The sequence below is a fragment of the Homo sapiens genome, chromosome 13 (assembly GCF_000001405.40).
Source record: "Homo sapiens chromosome 13, GRCh38.p14 Primary Assembly".
NCBI lineage: Eukaryota > Metazoa > Chordata > Mammalia > Primates > Hominidae > Homo > Homo sapiens.
Window position 1 is genome coordinate 34,026,703 of NC_000013.11, and position 22,753 is coordinate 34,049,455.

The window sequence follows — 22,753 nt, forward strand, 5'->3', positions numbered from 1 at the left end:
TTGGCTCATTTGAATAATTCGGGTGGTTCTGGTGGGCTTTGAGCTATAGCAGTGGTCTGTGGTTGCCTGGCACCTGGCTCTGGGATGATCACGTGAGAGGAATATTGCCTCCTGGGGTGGATAAACCAGATAGAGGAGGTATGGCTCTAGATTGATTAGTTTGTATATCAAAGACATACTCCTGGCTAGGTTATTTGTTATCTTTAAAAATTGGCTAGTCCCAAGAAGGGCAGTCTCTCCTCAGCCAGAAAGGGTTTTCAGGATGTCACAATATGACATTATACAAAAAAATTAAAATATATACTTACAATACACTTCAGACCACATTTCAGTAGCTCCAGGGACCACAAACCAGCAAAATTTATACTCACTCCACACATTCAAAAATGCCATTCGAGAAAATATATCACTTCACTCTCTTGGCAATGGAAAGTTTCCTAAATAACCCCTCAGTAATGTCGTTCAAAAAATTAAATACCATCTGAACACAATAAGGATTTAAATTATGAGCTAGTTTTAAATTATGAACAAACACTTCAAAATATAAGAGTAACTGGAATTCTTTTAGACACATGTCTGTCTTTAAAGATGAGATTCAAGTATATTGGTTTAATTCAAAATTAAAAAAGACTAAAATATCAGTTTTAAAGTTGTGTAACAAACAGAAAATATGTCTTCCGAAGTCAGTGCAGCTTGGTGGAGGACATTGCTGTGTCAGAGGTATTCTGCACTCACTTTTATATGCTTCCTGGGTGAAGTTGTCTTGCCTACCTCTGGGCTTCTGTACTGTCCTCCATGCTCTTCCATCTCCCTTCATCCAATCAAGCTCCTCCTCATGAGGTAAACACTCATCTCTTATGAATCAGCCCAAGCATCACCTTCTTTAAGAAGCATCTCCTGATACTGACCCTACTTGTACACAATTGTCTCCATACAATTAAACTCTCTGCCTCTGCCTTTTCTTGCCCAGTGGCCCATCATAGCAACTTTAGCATATAGTGTCCTTTCTACCTGACCGTAAGTCAGGCCCTTAATTTTATTTGATATTCCATCACTAGCATTTTCAACAATGCTCAGTGCATTGTGATGTTTAATAAAGGCATTTGGAATGGTTCTGTGGAGTTGAAATACCCCTACCAGTTCCTAATGTAACTCCTTTTCTCTCATTCAAATATTTTTAATTAAAAAATCTTACATTTTGAAATAATTTTAGATTTATAGAATATTGCAAAATTAGTACAGTTTCTATATACCATTCTTTCAGCTTTTCCTGACATTCATATCTTACATAACCATGATGCAGTGATCAACAGTAAGAAATTAACACTAATACAATATATTATTAACCAACAATATATTATTAACCAATATTATATAGATTTTGTTTGGACTTCATCAGTGTTCCATGGAAAAACTGTGTCATTTTTCTTTTACAAAATCTAACCCAGGACACCACATTGCATTTAACTGTCTTCTCCAATCTGTGATACTTTCTCTGTCTTTCCTTGTCTTCCATGACTTTGATACTTCTGAAGAGTACTGGATGGACTGGCTAGGTATTTTGCAGAAAGTGCCACAATTTGGATTTGTTTAATGTTTTTCTTCTCTTTTCTTTTCTTTTTTTTTTGAGATGGAGTCTTGCTCTGTTGCCCAGGCTAGAGTGCAGTGGCGTGATCTCAGCTTACTGCAAGCTCCGCCTCCCAGGTTCACGCCATTCTCCTGCCTCAGCCTCCCAAGTAGCTGGGACTGCAGGCACCCACCACCACACCCGGCTAATTTTTTGTATTTTTTTTTTTAGTAGAGACGGGGTTTCACTGTGTTAGCCAGGAAGGTCTCGATCTCCTGACCTCGTGATCCACCCACCTTAGCCTCCCAAAGAATGTTTTTCTAATAATTAGATCATAGCTATAGGTTTGGGGGAAGAAAACTACAGAAAAGATGTGGTGATCTCATCACTTAATATCAAGGTGTACATAATATCAATATGACTCATTCCTGGTGACATTAATCTTGATCACTTGGTTAACATGGTGACTGTCAGATTTCTCCATGGTAAAGTTATTAACTAGTATAGCTCCTCCTTAATAATAGATTCTTAATAAATATTGCATTGCTCTTTTCAGCAGTAGTCATTGACTTTCTATAATAGGCCAGATAGACCTGGTCTAGGTATTAGAATACAATAATTTTTAAAAGAGCCCCAATTCCCTTTCTCAAGTAGTTTATATTCTAGAAGGAGAGGCATACAATAAATAAGATAAATAAAAAAATATGAGGTATATAGATAGTGACTCATATTAAAGATAAACACAAAGGAAGGGAGTGGGGGAGAGTTGGCATTTTAGGTGAGCTTGTCAGAGAATGCCTCCCTGAGAAGTGAAAGACTGAATATACAGATGGACAATGGTCGGACCACATAAAAAAGTAGAACTCAGGGCCACAAGCTGCAGCAAGCTGCTCAGAAAAACAACCCCAGTATCGACATCTACAATAAACAGCCCAGGAAGCCCACCTGCAACCTATGAGTCAGACTTATAAGAAGTCAGACTACTATCTTTGATAACAATTCAGGAAGCTGAACAATAACCTCTGTAATAATCATCCCCAAGTGGCTAGGACTTGATTAATAACTGACAGTTTTCCTGATTTTTGTCCCCCCTTCCAATGTAGGACAAATCAGAGAAAGCCAAATATGCAGCTCTAACCAATCCCATAGGGAGCCCCACTCCTAGTTAGCCTGCCTACAGCTTCCCCACACCAACAGCCTCCAATCCTGGTGTACGGAAAGCCTTCCCTTTTTTCCACTACTAAGCTTTCCCACTCCTCTGCATGCCTTTGAGTTCTTGCCAAAATGGAAGAACTCAAAGTTGATGGTGGCTGACCCCATCGCTATAGCAAGCTCTGAGTAAACAGCTGTGGCCTGTTCTAATTTGGTTGGTCTTTATTCCCATGCGAGGTGACATGTGAATGAAGCCTTCGGGCAAGGACTTGGAGCCATTATGATATCTGGGGAAGAGCATTGCAGGCAGAGAGAAAGACAAGTGCAATGACTCTGAAGTGGAAATAGCAGGACAGGCTATTGGACTGGAACAGAGGGAGAGGGAGAGGGTAGCAGGAGTAGTAGGGGAAAAGGTCAGAAGTGCAATGGGGAGAAAAGAGAGCGGGTCGTGTAGGACCCTCTAGCTCATGGAAAGGGCTTTGGATGTTACTCTGCGTGAGATCAGAAGCCATCAGAAGATCTTGAGCTAAGGAGTGGTATGATTTAGTTGACCTTTTAATAAGATTGTCCTCGTTGCTGTGTTTTGGACAAATGACATAGACAAAAAATGAAAGCATGGAGATAAACTAAGAGGCTGCATGCTTATTCAAGCGAGAGATGATGGTTGCTTGACTAAGGTGGGAGCAGTAGAGCTGGTAAGAAGTGTTCAGGTTGTGGATACATTTTGAAGACTAAGTTATCAGGATTTGCTGATGGCTTATAATATATGGGGTGTGCAAGAAAGATAGTGTCAGTCTTAACTACTTTTGACCTGAGCATCTAGAAGAATATGTGTGACTTTTACTGAGATGCAGAGGATTACAGGAGCAAAGGTTGGGGAAAATATCAGGAACTTAGCTTTGTAAATGTTAGGGTTTGGGTGTTAATTAGATGTCCAAGTGGAGATGTGAGTAAGTAATTGAACATATCAGTCTGATATTCATGAAGAAGCTTCCTCCTAAAGATACTAATCTGTGAAGCATCACTATTTAAGTGGTCTTCAGAGCCCTGAGGATGGATCAGGTCAACAATGCAATGAGTGTGGATAGAAAAGAAAACAAGGCCAAAGACCGAGCCTGGGAGCACTCCTGTATTTAGAGGTCAGAGAGATGGGGCTGAACCAGCAAAGGAGACTGAAAAGGAATGGCTAGGGTGGTAAGAGGAACATTATGTTCATTCAACAGTGGTTCAGGAAAGGCACTTGCACTCTACTTACAGAAAAAGCAATGGGCCATTTCCTTATTGTAGCACAGCCTCCACAGTCTACCATAGGAAGAAAGACGATGTCTGTCTGTGGGCTAAGTGAGTCCATTGGAGTCCATGAGGATATCAGTGGCATCATTTATCATGGCACAGGCAGAATCAGAATTTATAAAGGATAAAGAAAAATGTGTGCTTATTTTATAAAAATGTATTTGCTGACTTCCTACAATAGTGCTATGGTTTGAATGTGTCCTCTTCAAAATTCATGCTGAAACTTAATCCCCACTGTGGTGGTATTAAGAGATGAGGCCATTTGGGAGGTGATTAAGTCATGAGGCATCTGCCCTCATGAATGGATTAGTGCATTATAAAAAGGCTGGAGGGAACTAGTGTAGGACCTTCTTTGCTCTCCTGCTGTTCCTTCATGTGAGGATACAACATTCTCCCACCTTTGCTCTTTTACCTTCCACCAGGCTAGGACACAGTGTTCAGGTGCCATCTTGGAAGCAGAGACTGGACCCTCGCCAGACACAAAACCCACTGGCACCTTGATCTTGGATTTCCCAGCCTCTGGAACTGTGAGAATAAATTTCTGTTCTTTATAAATTACCTAGTTTCTGATAGTTTGTTAAAACAGTACAAATGGACTAAGACAAATAGAGAAAGAAGGCATAAGTTTGTGTGTTTCTACTTTGAGTGATTTTGGTCACAGGTCTACCGCCAGAGAGTCCCTCCAGATACAGGGACTCCCCACATAATGGGGTCTTCCACTCCAGCACAGCTCACGCAACCAAGGCGCAGTCCTGGGGGATGATTTCAGGGCAGGGCTATTTCCAGGCTGCCTGCTCCCTCACCAGTTCCTCTCAGAACACCCTGATGGCATCAACACCTGAAATTTTTCAGCTATTACTTCAAACTGCCTCAATGTACCAAAAACCATGATGCTAAGCCATATCAAGGGGGATAAAAGAGTTTTCCCCTCAACTAAATCAAAAGGGAAAACAAAACAAAACAAAAGCTGATGAAATCACAACTTACAATAGTAGAATCAGAAAAGCTGGTCATAAAGCACACGGTGAATTCAAAGCACTTTGGCCGAAGGCAGACTGTATATCTCTCCGGCAGGAACTCATGCTGCACAGCTGTTTTGTCTCTGGCAGTGTCAAATCCTATACCTGCTGGAAGCAACAGGGAACCCAAGTTCAGGAGCACAGTTTTTTTCTTACTCAGTATATAAGGAAGAGCTTGGGAAGACTACAGAATATTTGCTGCCATGTATTTGCATCGAAATCCTTTTAAACCAACTGCAAGAGGAAACAGAAATATTCCAGCATCTGAAAGAACAAAGAGTGTAGTCTTCTAGAGAAATAATGTTATTTGCATGAATATATAAACCCTGTAGTAAATTATTTGTTCAAGCCTCTATGGAAAATTCCTGAGCAAATAGACAGAAGCAAAATAGGAAGTAAAATGCTTCAATTTTACCCTTTCTTTAAAGCACATTTTAATTCCTTAGACATTGGGACAAATTTCAGAAGTCTTCTTGAAGAAGCAATATAGTACCCCCTGAGGTCGTCTTCCTGGGATCAGATGCTGGGTGAATTCACTGATCTCAGTTCACCGGGGGCTGGCAGCATCATTCCCATTTCTCTTACAGTTGGTAAAGGCATCCATCTGCCACTATAGCCTGTGTTTTCATGGTCTTTTTGAGACTGAGGCATCATCCTCATTTTTTAATAGATATTTTTGAAACTAAAGGAAAGGGTTCCTTAAGGATAAATAGCTCAGTCCTATTTCTCTAGAAATTTTACTTAATAGCTGTGTGATTTTATGTAAAGCATAACCCCTCTCTTGGCCCCAATTTCCTCAACTATAAAATGGCAATAACTATCTATGTTGTAAGAAAACAATATAAATAATCTAGCATGTGAAAGAACTGAGCACAGTATCTGGAATATACAGATACTTAGTAAATCTTTGCTCTGTAAAGGAATAAAAAGGCCTGAATATTTAAAAGAGACCGATCATATTCCTGAGGAATACTTGTGATCTAGCAATACAAATATCTGATGGGAACGCTATTTCAAAATGAGAGCAATGGTATCTTGAAATCAAAATCCAGAACAAAATGTTCCACAGATAATTAATGCATTTTAATATTTACAAAAGACAGACACCAAGTTTCATTACTTCTGTTTTCAGGATTTAGGAGATGTGCAAATTTTGTAATTTATCATTCAATTTCAAGACCAACCTAACCCTTCCTTCCTCCCGTGCTCTCTCTTCTGAGACTCTGACATCCCTAGGACTCAGATGACCAGAACTGGTTATTTTTATGGCATCAATTTTCAATAACAATTATGCAACTCATATTTAGTTTTAATTATTATTTTAAAATTAGATTTATAGAACATAAAATACTGAATGGTATGCATTTTCAATGAACCTTTGAACTCTTGAGGAACTTTTGTAAAGAAGTTAACAAGGCCTGTTGGACTAAAAGTTGTCACCAAATGAAACTATGCTGAAAATGTGTTTGTGTGTTATTGTCTGTGTTTATTTGTAGGGAAATGGACCCACTAATCTTGCCATCTCACTCAACTAAATCAGTATTTCCACTTTCTGTGATTCATTCAGTAGTACTAATAGTTGCCCTTTGCAGAACAATTATTATATTCCAGGCTTTATATAACTTATCTCATTTGATCTTCACCACAAACTGTGAATACTTTTATTATCCCCATTTGACAGATGAACCAAGTTTCATAACTTGAGGCTCCTGAGATCAGTTCAAGTAGGAAAGTGGGGAGATGTGGCATATTAATAAGGAATCGGGTGGGATAAGCATAAACTAGTTAATATTTGGGCACGATCTTATTTTTTCCTAAGTATAAATTATAGATTGTTTCTGAAGAAAAAAGGTTTTTTTTTTTTTTTTTTTTTTTTTGTTTGTTTGTTTTTTTTTGAGACAGAGTCTCGCTCTGTCACCCAGGCTGGAGTGCAGTGGTGCAATCTCCACTCACTGAAAGCTCCGCCTCCTGGGTTCACGCCATTCTCCTGCCTCAGCCTCCTGAGTAGCTAGAACTACAGGCGCCCACCACCACACCCGGCTAATTTTTTGTATTTTTAGTAGAGATGGGGTTTCACCATGTTAGCCAGGATGGTCTCGATCTCCTGATCTCATGATCCGCCCGCCTTGGCCTCCCAAGGTGCTGGGATTACAGGCGTGAGCCACCGTGCCCAGCCAAGAAAAAAGTTTTGATAAAAAGTACATAAAAAGTTAGAGTTTGGGAGTTCTGATTTTATCCATGAAAGATTAAGTGCTCTGAGATTTGCCTTCCACCATATCCAACTAGAAAACCAAACAAAATATAGAGCATAACAACTTTCAAACATTGAACAAGAGGTAGGACCATGACTCCAAGAGAAGGGAAGTAAATGTACTGAGTCCTGTAATTGTCCAGGTTCGAAGGCAGTTTCGATGCATAGCACAGGGTAGGAACCCAAGCAAAGCCCAGTGGTCTTACAGAGTCGAGGAGGTGGACTTCAGAATCCAGGCAGTTAGAACTTTCAGTATTTACAGAATCCTAGAGCAGAGAAAGCTACACACACACATATACACAGAGAAAGAGAGAGGACATGCTCTGGAAATCTTCAGAGTTCTCTGAAATCTTTGGCTTTTTAGATCAAGTTTAGCCTAAAGCTGCCTCCTTACATATTTTAAGTTTGGCTTAAAGGTTTCTCTGTACACTGTGAACTATCACAAGTGGAAGTGTAAACAGACTGTACCCTACACTTGTGCCAATCACCAAGTTTTGGCCAATCAAATGTAGCTAACTGTTCAAATCATGTTCAACTAAGGCAAATGTGGAGCTGTAGCCAATCCGGCTTTTTCTGTCCCTCACTTCCATTTTCTGTATGTTTCCTTTTTCTGTCCATAAATCTTTCACCATGTGGCTGCACTGGAGTCTCTGAGCCTGCTGTGGCTCAGGAGGCTGCCCGATTCACGAATCATTCATTGCTCAATTAAACCATTTTAAATTTAATTCGGCCGAAGTTTTTCCTTTATCAGGCTAAATATCAAGTACAGGTACAGGGCTCTGTGAGGCTGAATATCAAGTACAAGTACAGGTATAGGACTCTGTGAGGCTGGGAGACAGAATAATTCCTAGAATTCACACAGGATTCACAATATACAGAGCATCAGGTAGACTACTCAGGAAGATGTTGCCTGAATAATTGGGCTAAATTAGCCCCAAACAAAAGGCTACTCTAGACCTGCCCTACTAAGGCTTAAAAGAAAATGCTGAAAGAATCAAACTTGATCCCGGGTAAATTAGCTGTATGCCAAAGTCCAACAATATTAAATGTACAAGATTTACCACTTAATAAAGATTACCAGGAATGTAAAGAAGTAGGAAAATATGATTTGTAATTGGAAAAAAAGTTCATTCAAAAGAAGCAAACCTGGAAATTTCATATATGATATTATTAGCACATAAGGATTTAAAAATAGCTACTATAAATATGCTGCATATATTCAAGGTATAGGGAAAAAGACAAACATGTTGAGAGGATAAATGGAATATGTATATTTTTAAAGATTCAAATAGGACTTCAAAATATTAAAAAAGTATCTGAAAAGAAAATTTGATGGGATTCTTGCAGATTAAACACTGCAGAAGAAAAGATCAGTGAATTTGAATACATAACAATAGAAGCTACAGAAAATTAAACACAGAGATGAAAGACTGGAAAAAACAGAACCGAACATTAGTGATTCTTTGGGACCACATCACGTGGACTAACATGAAAACAACTGAGCTCCAGAAGTGGGGTGGATAGAAGTGTCTGAAGAATAAGATGCGGAGGGGATTTATTGGCCTGTGAAACTAGAAGGTGGACCTACGTGTAAGTGCTCAAAAGATGTCAGGAACATCCCTGTTTCTTCTCTCATTTCTGTTTTCTCCTGAATTTTAGCTTCACTGTGCAGGGAAGCTTTCTCCATGAGAGAGGAATGTCATTTAACAATAACATCTTCACAGCCCCCAGTTTAGAGATCCTAAGAGAAGAGGACAGCTCCTCCCTGCCTGTGAATCAGTCAATGCAGGGAAGGGCTCCAGCTGGCCCAGGTTGAGTCATGTGTTTACCTGGAGCCGTTCTTTATATCAGAGGGGTGAAGAATTCTGACTGCTCTAAGCTGAATCAGATATCATACCATGTGGGACTCACAGCCTCCACAACCAGATGGAATGGAAAGAGGAAAATTCTCCAAAGGAGATGAGGGCACCAGGGGAATAAAGATAACAGGTGGCCCAAATACCATCCTTCAGATTCAGCTCATCCAAGGGCTTTTTGTGCAAACTGTTTCTCCTGAAATACTCAACCTTGCATTTGCTGATTCATTTCCATTGTGTCATCCGTGTGTCATTGTGTTGAGTCTGTCATTTAGCTCTCCGTCTGGCTCATATGAATTTTTCTCTCCAGCTAGATAGTAAGGCCTTGAAAAGCATGACCATGTCTTATACATTCCTTAATCTCTCCCAGTGACTGGCAGAGTGTCTCTCATTTAGTAGCAGAATAAATGTTTGTTTTGGTGAATCTGTTACAGAGACTAGTCAAATACTCCCATTAAGCTGAGGAGAAGTTAGATTGAGTAAATACCCTCAGCCTGTGTCATCATGAAAGAAGACTAAAGTGTTCATAAAAAGCTAATTGGTAAGCAGTTTGCAAATGAAAAACTGGTTTCTTTTTTTTTTTTTTTTTTTAACTCTTCTCTTATTAGGATCCCCAAAGCTGTGATGACAATGCCAGGAGCAAAGAAGTAGCTTTTTTAAATTTCTTGATGCCCAGACCATTTGGGCTCAGGCAGAGTGTGTGTGTGCCCACATGATAGGATTCGATGGGTACTTGAAATCCTTCTTGCCCTAAATATCCTTCCTTGCATCCTGAAAAATCCTTCAATTCAAAGTCAATTATTTTTGATTAAGATGCTGTACTTCTTAAAGAACCCTTTAAAATACAAATACCCGAGTAAAGCAGATACTATGATCCATTAACCTTTTTGCCTAAATTTATTTCTCCAAGTGGCTTTAATCACTTAACAGAGCCCTGAAAGAAGGGGCAGAAGGACACAGACATTGCTTGGCCAATGGGGAGGTGGGCATGTGGATGTTGGGCTGCTTTGGGGAGGCACATGGCAAACCCAGTGCTTCAGGCACATTATGCAGCAGGAAGAATGTGCATATTAGACATCTGGGGGCATGTATTTAAAAGGGACATTAAAAAGTAAACAGGTGAAGTGCTCTTCTCACCACTCTTGTGTAGAAAAAGACCCTTATTCTTTTAGTATAGCTATGATGGCAAAAGCTAAAACAAACCAATAGAAAGAACAGGGACAAATTTGGGTTGATTCCCTTATTCTAAGACAATTGCCATGTGGTCACAGATTGGCAGAGCCCATATGGATCGTCCGGTAGAGGTCTGAGGGCCACATCTCTTTGACCTCCACTTGTCTTGGCTACTTGACCCAGAACCATCAGGGTTCAGCCCTGGGCACTCTCTTCCTACTTACTTCTGTCAATTTCATTCTTTGTGGCCTTTAGAGGCTGGAGGCAGAGTTTCATTTTTCCTGACTAGGATACTGTATTTATTCAATCGCCCCTGTTTAGAGAAAAAGAGTGGGAAAGAAATACTACAATATAGATTGCAAGAGATCAGTTGGCAATATCAATTGTAAGATCTACCCTCAATTTCAGAGTTTTAAAATGGAAAATAATGTGCATCTCAGCGTTAAGGAAACACAGTAATAAGTTGAACAGTAGAAGGAAGCGGGTTGGTAGCTATTACTGGGTAGATGAAATCTTTTGGAATTAGGAGCTTTCACATCATCACAGAGAAGACAGGCATAGAAAAGCTCTCCTACCTCCCAGGTATAGCAGCCAGATTTCTCAAGGAAGGTTCACAAAAGAAAAGCCCCTACACAACTGTGCCTGGGTGACATCAGATTTCTGGAATGCAGAGGCTCATGCTTTTAGGGGCTAGTGCAAAGCCTCCAAATCAAAGCCTGAATTAGGAAGCTTCAAAGCTGGGAGCCCAACATCACCACTAACTACCCAAGAGGAGAGGCAGAGAGACCCCTCCTCTTCCAGGACACACAGGCCCGCTCGGCTTGGCAGCATCTCACCTCCTCTAGGCTGGCTCCCTGACAGTCCATGAATATTCAGTTGGTGTTACTAAGTGATTCCATTCCATCTTAATCATCTATTTGGGGACACTGCATACTGCATTGGTCATGATTTCTATGGTGTTTTTTGCTCTCATTTGTAAATAGCTTTCAGAAACCTGAAATGAAATTGCATTTACTTTTCATTTTCCTCCTTCAGTCTGAGTCAGCTTGACTTGGAATCAGCAGTACCTTCTGGCCCTTTTAAGCAACCTTATTTCCACGATGGAGAAAAATGATCATTCTGCAGGATACTGTGCAACGTAAGGGGACTGCACGGGAAGACAAGAGTGAGGCCACTGTCCCCACACTACTCAAATGAGCTCATTTCCGCCATTCCTTTCAGCTAAGAAAATGTGCACCAGCTCAGTTGCCTCAGATTAAAATGCATAAGTATAATTTCCTTGCACATATTTTAATCTGATTAGCATTCAGCCTATGGAAGTCCCCATTCCTTCCCCTGCTCTCTAATAGCTTCCCTTTCTAAATTGTGTCCTCTCTTGTAGAACTCAGGTGCTCATATTAGCTTTGCACAATTTTAGCTGAGAACAGAGGGAAGGAAATCACCAGGGTAACATTGGCCGCCCACACTGCAGTTTGTGTGTGTTTTAAGAGAAATAAGAAGCAGATAGACTGTTCCTCCTTAATGTCTGTAATAGGCTAAAATTTCCCAAGATTCTGTGTTTTTCTTAAGCAAATATGAAATTTAACCGGAGCCACAAAGGAGGGGGGCGTTATTTGGTTGTGAATGACCTAAGAGGAACAGACTGCAAAGCAGTATTACCCAAGAGGAGCAGTGCAAAGTCAACACAAATGCTTTCTTTCATGTGGCCCTGGGTATATCTGAATGTAAAGTTTAGGCAGAGTTTTTTTTGTTTTTTTTTTTTTGTTGTTCTGAACAGAGGCATATTAGGAATGTTTAAAATATCTCTATTTCAGATATTTGACCCCAAGTCTTCTGTTTAGTTATATATGGAAACAGAGCTCACCTGAGATATAAAAAGAAGCGGTTGTTGCTGCTCTGGTTTCCTGTGGGGACACAACTACTCCTTGGCTCCTGCCCCACCCCCACTCAGGTTCTCAGCATCTTTGTTCTGTCTCGATCTGCCTTAGGTCCAGTGTGTCCTAAAGCTCATGTCCCCGCCTTTCCCTTCTCCCACCACACTTCTGTCCAGGTGGACCCATTCAATGGATGTCCCATTCTTTCAGTGCCTTGCTCTCTCCTTTTTAAGCAGCCAAAGGTAACAACCTTCCCCCCAGGTAACCTTCCGAGGATGGGTTTTATTAACTCAGAGAAGGAAGTAATGCCATCATTGAGCTTAAAAAAGCTCTTAGGAATTTACATGCTTGTCATTGGAAAGAAGGCAGAACATTAAGGAGACCGAGGATAGAATCCTGATATGGCCAACTCACTATGTAAGTCTGAACAAGTGAATTAATCTATCTGAGCCTCAGTTTATTTATCTTCATAATGTGATTATTAATTTTCATTTCATAGGATGTTGTAAAAGTTAAATTAGATGCTTTTTACAAATATTCTATTTGCAGGACGTGGTATAAACATACCTACATTACATCAACATTGGAGGCATGCTATTTATCTGGTTTCCTGACTTGATACCAGTTTTATTTGCCTACAGAATTATTTTGAGTGCCTTTATAGGTTGGAAATGCTTTTAAAATGATAAAATATCATTAAACTATGAAACAACACAACATTCTCCTCCTCCTTCTTCTTCCTGTCCTTTCCCTTCTCTTTTTCCTTCTTCTTCTCTTCCTCCTCCTCCTTCTTCTCTCCTTCTTGATTAATTATCAAGACAAATATCTAAAAGTCAGTTGTGAATCCTCTCTACCTTTTATCCCCAGCATCCAGTCCATCAGCAAGTCCCATTGACTCTAATCCATGATATACTTCCTATACATCTCCACTGCCATCACCCCGGTCTTAGCCACCACCTCAACAGCCCTCTGCAGGCCTCTCTACAGGCACTCTAGACCAGCACTGCTGTGCAGCCACTATTTGGTGAGGATCCTTTTACTCACAGACAAACACATTCCTCACTGATCCACCCTTTCTAGAATATAGATGGCATCTTATCTGCCTTGCTCACCACCACACCTTCAGGACTGAGAACAGTACAAACATACAGAAGGGCTCAACAAAGACTTTATGAATAAATTGTATTTATTAATGTGCTCTAAGCACAATCCTATGGGGCAGGCATTATTAGTGCGCTTTACAAATAAGAAATCTGAGCAGTCTTTGTTTAAAGGATTGGTCTTTTCATAAGAGACGAGGGATCAGTTAGATCTAGTATATTTTAAAGGGATTTTATGGAAGCTGAACTACACATAAAAAGGACAATCAATGAAACAGGTAGTGCCTTCTTCTGCATTTTAGGGTGAATCTGGCATTCCCAAACTTCTCTTTTTTCGTATTTCATTGCACACGGTTACTGGATCTTTTCCTAAACATTTTTTTAAATCTTACTTTTCCTCTACTATCAGTGGGCAATGGCTGAGGTTTTTCTTTTCTTTTCTTTTCTTTTCTTTTTTTTTTTTTGAGACGGAGTCTCGCTCTGTCACCCAGGCTGCAGTGCAGTGGTGCAATCTAAGGTTTTTATTTTCTATAGACATGCTGGACAATTAATCACATTCAGGATTTTAAAAATCAGTATGTTGTTTCCCGCTCTCTGTTTGCTAGTATTCTGAGGAAGGATCCAAGTAAATTCTGCTTTTATGCAATTTGAAATGAAGAGATGTGTTTTATTAACCTGTTAGCCATGGGTGACATCTTATTATAATAGTAATTTTTATTTCCGTCATCAGTGTTCTCACAGCAGCATCCCTTTACACTCACATCTACTTTGTATTAACATTGTAGACCCAGTATTTATCATATCAGAGTGTATATTTAAAAACCAAGCAGGCATTAAGGCAGGGTGTTGCTACTGGCTTACAGTAAGGTAAATTATAAAAATTTTAGAAAATCAAATATTTGTGTCTGGGCTCACTAATTATTATTTTCTTTCTTATCTGAATGATCTGCATAAATGACCGTTAGGACACATAAATCAAGATCAATGCAACATTAAGTTGGCCAAGGCACAGTAGTGTTGAATTGAGTAGCCGATGTGGTCAACAAACAGGAAACGTGTGAGAAGTCATCCAGATACAATGAGGTCATTCCTGACCCTTACTCTCATCCCCCAGATGCTTAAAATTATAGCTTAATGTTTTTATTTTTCTTCTGTGGAAGAGGAACTGATGACACGAAAACCTATCAACCCTGAATTGTTGGGTAAATGTGAAGTTCAGTTAAGGCTCATTGGGTCAGATTCAAAATAATAAAATGATCATCAGTGCCCTTGAAGTAGAGACCACAGTGGGATGGAGTGAAATTAGTTTCCTGACTAGACAGCATTCTCAGGGCTGCGGAGCTGTGCTGATGTACACATCTTTGAATATACACTCCCCCTACTCACACATATGCACATAGCAAGAAGGTAGTGGTATCATTGCACTAATATTTGCACCTGTAATTTTCTGGATTGATACTAAGAAAACATAGACATTTGCTTATCCCAAAGGCTGTGACTGAGATCACATATGTTTTTTGCTTTTAAACTGTTTTATGTTTTTTAACATTTATACAATGAACAGGAATTATATTCATGATTGAAGAGCAAAGTGACATATTTAAAAAATTTTAAAGGATAATATTTGTATTTCTTAGCTATTAATTATCTCAGTAAATCATAATTTCCATTGATAATCCAATAGGCACAGTGCTAACAGAAGGAAACATGTAAACTCCCAACTCTTTACAAGCTAACTGTATTTTTATAAAAGCTAATCATTTATATTTTATATACTTCAGACTTCAGGCTATTACATACTTTTTAGTGTATAAAATTGAAGGATAATTTACTTACAGTGAAATATGCTGATTTTAAAAATATAATTTGATCCATTTTAAAAATGTAGACCCCCCCCCCCATATAATGTACAGCCTGCCATGGTTTGAATATGTCCCCCAAATTTCATGTGTTGGAAACTTAATCCCTAATGTGGCAGTATTGAGAGGTGGGGTCTTTAAGAGATGATTGAATCATCAGAACTCTGCCCTCATGAATGGATGAAGCTATTCATGGATTAATGGATTAATGGGTTATTATGGGAGTTGGACTGGCGGCTTTATAAGAAGAAGAGAGACCTGGGCTAGCATGTTAGCATGCTCAGCCCCACTGCCTGGTGATACCCTGCATCACCTCAGGACTTCAGAGTCCACACCACCAAGGAGGCTCCTACTAGATGTGGCTCCTTGACCTTGGACTTCTCAGCTTTCATAACTGTAAGAAATTCCTTTTCTTTATAAATTACCCAGTTTCAGGTGTTCTATTATAAGCGACAGAAAATGGACTAAAACACGTCCTTATCAAGATATAGGCTATTTCCAACTCCTTATCACCTTTGTGACCCTTCCCAGATAATCACAAACACTTCTCCAAGCAACCACTGATCATATTTCTCTTCTCATAGATTAATGTGCCAGCTCTAAAATTTCATATCGATGGAATCATGCATAGTGTATGTATGCACCCTTTTGAGTTTGACTTTCCTCACTCAGCGTAATGAGTTGAAATTTATCCACAAAGAAAGGAAATGCATCTTTATAGAAGTTAGTGAGACTTCCTCAGAAGGGGACCAAGAAGCCATCTTTAGAAATCAAATATTGAGTAAGGAGATTTTCTTCACAACCTCAGTTGGGAAGACCCACATGGCTGCGGGCTGGAGGATCCACTTCCAAGACCTTTTCACTCACATATCTGGCCCCTGCACTGGGATGGCTGAACATGAGTTTAGCTGGGACTTTGAGAATTAATCAGCTACATGTGGCCTCTGTACGTGGCTTGGGCTTCTCAAAGCATGGAACTCAGATCCAAGAAGGAATGTTTTGAGAGAGGCCCTCATGAGAAAGAGCATTCCAACTCAATCAGGCAGAAGTGGCATACCCTTTTATGACTGAGCCTTGTGAGGCTCACATGGATCACCTCCATGACCCTGCTAAAGCAATCATACACCCACTCAGATTCAAGGGGAAGGGATACAGGCTCCAACTCTCAATGGGAGGACTGTCAAAGAAGTTGTAATAATTTTCTGGCAGCTTCTATGAATAATGAACGTATGGATTGTGTGTCAGAATTAGGTGGTCTACTACCTACTTAGGGCAAGTTTAAAGGAGAAAAAGTTGAAATATATGGTTTTTGCATGATCAGCTAGAATAGTTTAAGTGGGAATAATAAGAAATTCTATGCACAGGGAACTGACTAAAGTAAAGGTTCTGCCATGTCAATAATGGAGGTGATGACTAGGCGCAGTGGCTCATGCCTGTAATCCCAGCACTTTGGGGGCCAAGGAAGGTGGATCACTTGAGGTCAGGAGTTCAAAACCAACCTGGCCAACATGGTGAAACCCCGTTTCTACTAAAAATACAAAAATTAGCTGGGCATGGTGGGTGCCTGTAGTCTCAGCTACTTGGGAGGCCGAGGCACCAGAATCACTTGAACTTGGGAGGCGGAGATTGTGGTGAGCCAAGATTGCACCACTGTACTCCAGCCTGGGTGATAGAGCAAGACTCTGTCTTGGGGGAAAAAAAAAATGGAGGTGGTGAGTGAAGAGTGTCACAGCACAGCAGGAGAGAATCAGCAGTAGAGAAACAGTGTCACAGAGCAGCAGGAGAGAAGCAGGAGAGAAGCAGAAAAAGACCATTAAGGAATCACGGATTGGTGATCAGTTTCATACATTGAACAGCAGCAATGTGAGTGTCTACTTGAGGAAAGTGATTTCCCCAGGGTGCTAATGATGGCTGTATCTCTTATTGCAAAACTGTACAACAGAGGTTAGTGAGAGGAGGACTATCATTAGGAGGTGGGATAAAATATACAGATTTCTTGGAGATACAGCAAGTGCTGATCTATTTATCAGGTTTGTGGTAAGTAGAAGAATCCCTCCACCACCCCATCCCCCAAGATGTCTATATCCTAATCCATGGAACCTATGAATATATTAGATTGCATGACTAAGGGGAATTAAGGCTGCAGATGGAATTTGAGGTTGCTGTACTGGGTTGAATAGTATCTCCCTCCAGATTTATGTCCACCTGAAACCACCTGCATGTGGCCTTATTTGAAAATAGGGCCTTTGTAGATGTAAACACGGCAAGATGAGGTCATACTGGACTAGGGTGAGTCCTGGATCCAATGTGACTTATATTCCTATAAGAAGAGGAGAATTCGGATGTAGAAACACATGCAAATGGAGAGTGCTATGTGCAGATGGAGACATAGATTAGAGGGATGCTTCTACAAGCAAAGAATGCCAAAAATTGCTGGCAGCCACTAGTACTTGGAAAGAGGCATGAAAGAATTCTCCCCTAGGGTGTTCAGAGAGTGCCTGGGCCTGCCAACACCTTGATTTTAAACTTCTAGCCTTCTATAAAAGAAATTTTAAGAAATAAAATAAATAAACATCTAGCCTTAGAACAGTGAAAGAATGCATTTCTGTTGTTTCAAGCTGCCCTATTTGTGGTAATTTGTTATGGCTGTTCTTAGAGACAAATACAGTTTTGAGGCAGTCCACTGTAAGGACAAGGGACCCCATAAGTAGAAGAAGGAACCAAAAGAAAGAATCAGAGATGGCGGGGTAAAAAGGACTCAGTTCCATATTACTGGCTTTGAAGATGGAAGAAGGGGCCATGAGCCAACAAATGTGTGTGGCCTCTGAAAAGCAAGGAAATAGATTCTCCCCTAGAGCCTTCAGAGAGAACACAGCCCTGCCAACACTTGATTTTGCCCACTTGATGTCAGACTTCTGACCACAAGAACTGTGAGAATGGATGTGTTGGTACTTTGTTTACATCAGAAACAAGTGACTAATACAAGGTTAGTTGATATTGGAGAGAAGGGTGAGTCAGACCCTGTTATGGGCTCAATTATGTCTGCAAAATTTTCCTTTATTGAAATCCTAACCCCCAGTACCTCAGAAACTTGACTATATATGGAGATAGGACCTTTCAAGAGGTAATTCAGATAAAATGAGGTCACATGGGCAGGCCCTAGTCCAGTATGACTGGCATCCTTGTTAGAAGAGGAGATTAGGATACAGACACACAGGGAAAAGATCATGTGAAGACAGAAGGAAAAGGCAGCCACCTGCAAGCTAAGGAGAGAAGCCTCAGGAGAAACCAACCCTACTGACATCTTGAACTCAGATTTGTAGCCACCGCAATGGTGAGGAATTATACTTCCATTGTTTAAGCCACCTAGTCAGTGGTACTTGGTTGGGCAGCACTAGCAAACTAATATAGGCCCCAAATTCTTCACTTTCTTCACTTTCCTCACTTTTTAGATTAAGGCTCTAAGATTCAAAGTAGGAAAAATAAATGGCTCAAGTCACATAGTGGCATTGCCACGACTGAAATCTGCATTACTTGATAGTGGCATGGAGGACTAATGAGTACTCTGGGGCTCTCCGTAGAGTTTTCACTGAGGTTTTTGGTGGTGTGGCTGCCTGTTTTTTAATTCCTTCACATCTGAACATTCAGAACTCGTTGTGTTTACATTTTTTGTCCTGCTGAGTTGAATGAAAGGCAACTCATTAAAGAAAGAAACTAAAATGGGTAAGTGGTCCAAAATTGGAAACTGAAAAAGAAAATATTCATTAGCCACAAGTCAGGTGTGATTTTCTCTAAGATTGCATTTTGTAGTAGATTCCACTGAAAGAATATACCTCTGACATAAATTCTTAATCTGTTTTTCAAAATTCCTTTTACTCAGGAGGACTGGATGCAGGAGGATGAGCCAATTAATGGCTAAACATGTGTCTGTAAAATATGGTAACTCAACGTAATTGCTTTGTGTAGTTAACTTGACAGTTAAGGCCATCATTCTCAAGAAATCTGTACAGGTAGACTGGACCAGAAATCATTTCCCTACCTGTCCTGTCATCCTGACACACTGCAAGGCATGTATATATTTACATAGTTAATCCAGTTGCAAATGGAAATTAATAATATATATTACTGTATCAATTACTCCATTGCAAATTAATGTAGATTTTTTTCCTGCTTAATTTATTCAAATCAAATACCCTCAGCCTCAGGTCTTCCAAGACTCTCTTCCATCCTGGATGTAAGAGCATAATCTAAGCAGATTGTAAATTATTTAAACTGGTCACCCTGCTCTAATACATTCTAAGTAGTTCTTGAAATCATTAATGAGGGCATCAGATCCTGCAGTCTGAGTGGCAAATTTAAAAAAAGAAATCTATGCTGGCTTTAATTACTTTTGAAAGAATAGAGTCAGACCCTGATCTTATAAAATTCAAATCATGGGCACTTAATAACCTGGAGCAGGAAAAGAGATTGAGTTTTATACTACCCAAAGTTCCAAAACTTCAGCCCATAATATATAGGACCAGGTACTGTCTGTGGTGCCTCCTTACTTCCTGAAACTTTTTATACATTATTTCTGCAGATAACAGCGTTGGAGGTATGTGTTGTTATCCCTGCTTCACAGATGAGGAAACTCATTCAGAGATTTAAATAACTTGCTCAGCTTATAAGTCTCTGAACTGAAATTCATTCTGTTGTCTATTTGATGCCAAAGCCCATGCACTTTCTACTGTATCATGGTTTACCAAGCACTTTCAAAAATATTTTATTTGAGACACCAGAAGCCCTATGAGGTAATTCCCTTTCTTACGGTTGAGAAAGCTGAGCGTTCTAAAAACTGACCACAAATAATACAGTAGAAAATGGCCTTGGAGCACTTTCTTCTCTACCTCAAGTATGCACACACACACGCATGCACACACAGAGAGTTACCCCGCACCCCAGCCTTGCCTTGCTTCAGGGCAACGAGTACACCAACTGGGTAGCCTGTGGCAAGGAAGGGGATGGGAACCATCTAGTACATCACCTCCAAGGGCCACCTATTTGTGAATCTTTTTCATAGTGAAGGATAATGCCAGAGATACCATTTACTTTTCGTTACTTCCTAGGGAAAGTACATGTGTGTTGAAGTCTTAAACTTCAGAGCTTTCTCTTATGCTGTTCATTGTCCCTGGGTTAGAGGGCTGGAGTTAGAGCTGCCAAATAAAATGCAGACCACCTGGTTAAATTTGATTTTTAGATAAACAATGAATAATTTTTAAGTATCAGTATATCCTAAACATTGCCTAGGATGTACTTATACTAGAAAAAATAATGTTAGTTATCTGAAATTCAGATTTAAGTGGGTGGCCTATATTTTGATTGGCTAAATCTGGCAGCCCCACCTGGCATGGAAGTAGAAGTCTGTTGGAGGGAAGAGACCATGTGACCCAGTGGTCTGAGAAGTTGCTAGGCCACTGATCACAATGTCAGGAATGCTTTTTTTTTTTTTGGAACACATCAGAATTTATAAAACTTTATGCTGTAAACAATATCAACAAGAAAGTTAAAAGGGAACAACGGATGGGAGAACATGTTTATAAATCATATGTATGATAAAGGACTTGTGTCTAGAACTCTTACAACTCAATAATAAAAATACAAATACCCCAATTAAAAATGAGCAAAGGATTTGAATCTTTTCAATCAACAAAGAAGATTTACAAATAGGCATTAAGCACAAGAAAAGACGTGCAACATCATTAGGGAAATGCATATCAAAGCCACAGTGATCTACAGGAACAACAGAGAAGCAATAAAATATAAAACAAAACAAACAAAACCCCACAATGAGATACCACATCACATACACCAGGATGGCTATTAAAAAAAAGACAATAACAAGTGTTGGTGAGAATGTGTAGGGATGCTCATATATTGCTGGTAGGATTCTAGAGTGGCACGATCTCTTCACAAAACATTTTGGTAATTCCTTAAAAGGGTTAACATACAATTGCCATGTGACTTGGCAATTCCTATCCTAGGTATATACTCAACATGTTTCCATGCAAAAAAGTGCCCACAAATGTTCATAGCATCATTATTCATTATAGCCAAAAAAGAGAAACAACTCAAATATCCAACAACTTATGAATGGATACATAAAATCTGGCATATTCATATAATGAACTATTAGCCATAAAAAGGAATGAAGTACTGATACATGCTACAAATAAGAATGAACCTTGAAAACATTACGCTAAGTTAAAGAATTAATGCAAAAGGCAACATAGTATATAATTTCATTTATATGAAGTCTCCACAATAGGCAAATCCATAGAGATAGAAAGTAGATTAGGCCAGGCGAGGTGGCTCAAGCCTATAATCCCAGCACTTTGGGAGGCCAAGGTCAGGAGATCAAGAACATCCTGGCTAACACGATGAAATCCCATCTCTACTAAAAACGCAAAAAATTAGCCAGGTGTGGTGGTGGGCGCCTGTAGTCCCAGCTAGTTGGGAGGCTGAGGCAGGAGAATGGCATTAACCCAGGAGGTGGAGCTTGCAATGAGCCGAGATCATGCCACTGCACTCCAGCCTGGGTGACAGAGCGTGACTCCATCTCAACAACAAAAAAAAGTAGATCAGTGGTTGCCAGGCCTGGGGGAAAGGGACAATGGCTAAATTGAACAATTTGAGCATCAAAATCAATAATACTTTCAATATATCACAATGTATTTAATATATAATAAGAGATGGCACTGAAATAATACTAGAAAAAGTACGTTAAAAAATAAGAGATTGTAGTGACAGTTACACATTTCTGTAATTTACTAAACAATATGGAATGATGTATTTTAAATGGGTAAATTGCATGGGATGTGAATCATATCTCAATAAAGTTATACAAAATAAGCCAATGTGCAGCCATGTGAGTAAATAATGCCTTTGTTCTTAGAACATAGTAAGAGATGCCAGGTGCAGTGGCTCACACCTGTAATCCCAACACTTCGGAATGCTGAGGTGGGAGGACTGGTTGAGCCTACAAGTTTGAGACAAGCCTGGGCAACATCGCCAGACCTTGTCTCTACAAAAAAAAAAAAAAAATTACCTGGGCATGATGTCACATGCCTGTAATCCCACCTACTTTGGAGGCTGAGTTGGGAGGATTTCTTGAGCCCAGAAGGTCAAGGCTGCACTGGGCCATGATTGTACCATTGCTCTCCAGCCTGGTTGACAGAGTGAGACCTTGTCTTAAAAAAAGAAAAGAAAAAGTAGGAGAAAAGAAAATAAACTGATTTGTCAACACTGAAGTTTACTAGGGCACTCATTAAATAAACAAATAAGCAAATGAATAGATGTGTGTGAGGACACAGTGTTCCTGCCCTTTGGAGGACAGCAATGAGGTACCATCTTAAAAGCAGAAAGCAGCCCTTACCAGACAACCAAACCTCCTGGTGCCTTGATCTTAGACTTCCCAGTTCCAGAATTGTGAAAAAATAAATTTCTGTTCTTTATAAATTACCTAACTACAGATTTTGTTATAGCAGCATACCGTACACAGACTAAGTGGAAAAACCACAATCCAGATGCTAGGATGTTTATTGCTGCAGGTTTATCATTTCTTCTAGTCTGG

The 22,753-nt window shown here is 39.8% G+C and overlaps 1 long non-coding RNA gene across 1 annotated transcript in view; it reads left to right on the forward strand.

Moving 5' to 3' along the window:
• Positions 1 to 3,062: 3,062 nt before the first annotated feature.
• The window catches only part of LOC124903153 (uncharacterized), a 51,749-nt gene continuing 32,058 nt past the window's right edge, over positions 3,063 to 22,753 (forward strand). Inside the window, exon 1 of the long non-coding RNA XR_007063754.1 lies at positions 3,063 to 4,539. This is a non-coding gene — a long non-coding RNA (uncharacterized LOC124903153). The remainder of the gene's footprint in view (positions 4,540 to 22,753) is intronic.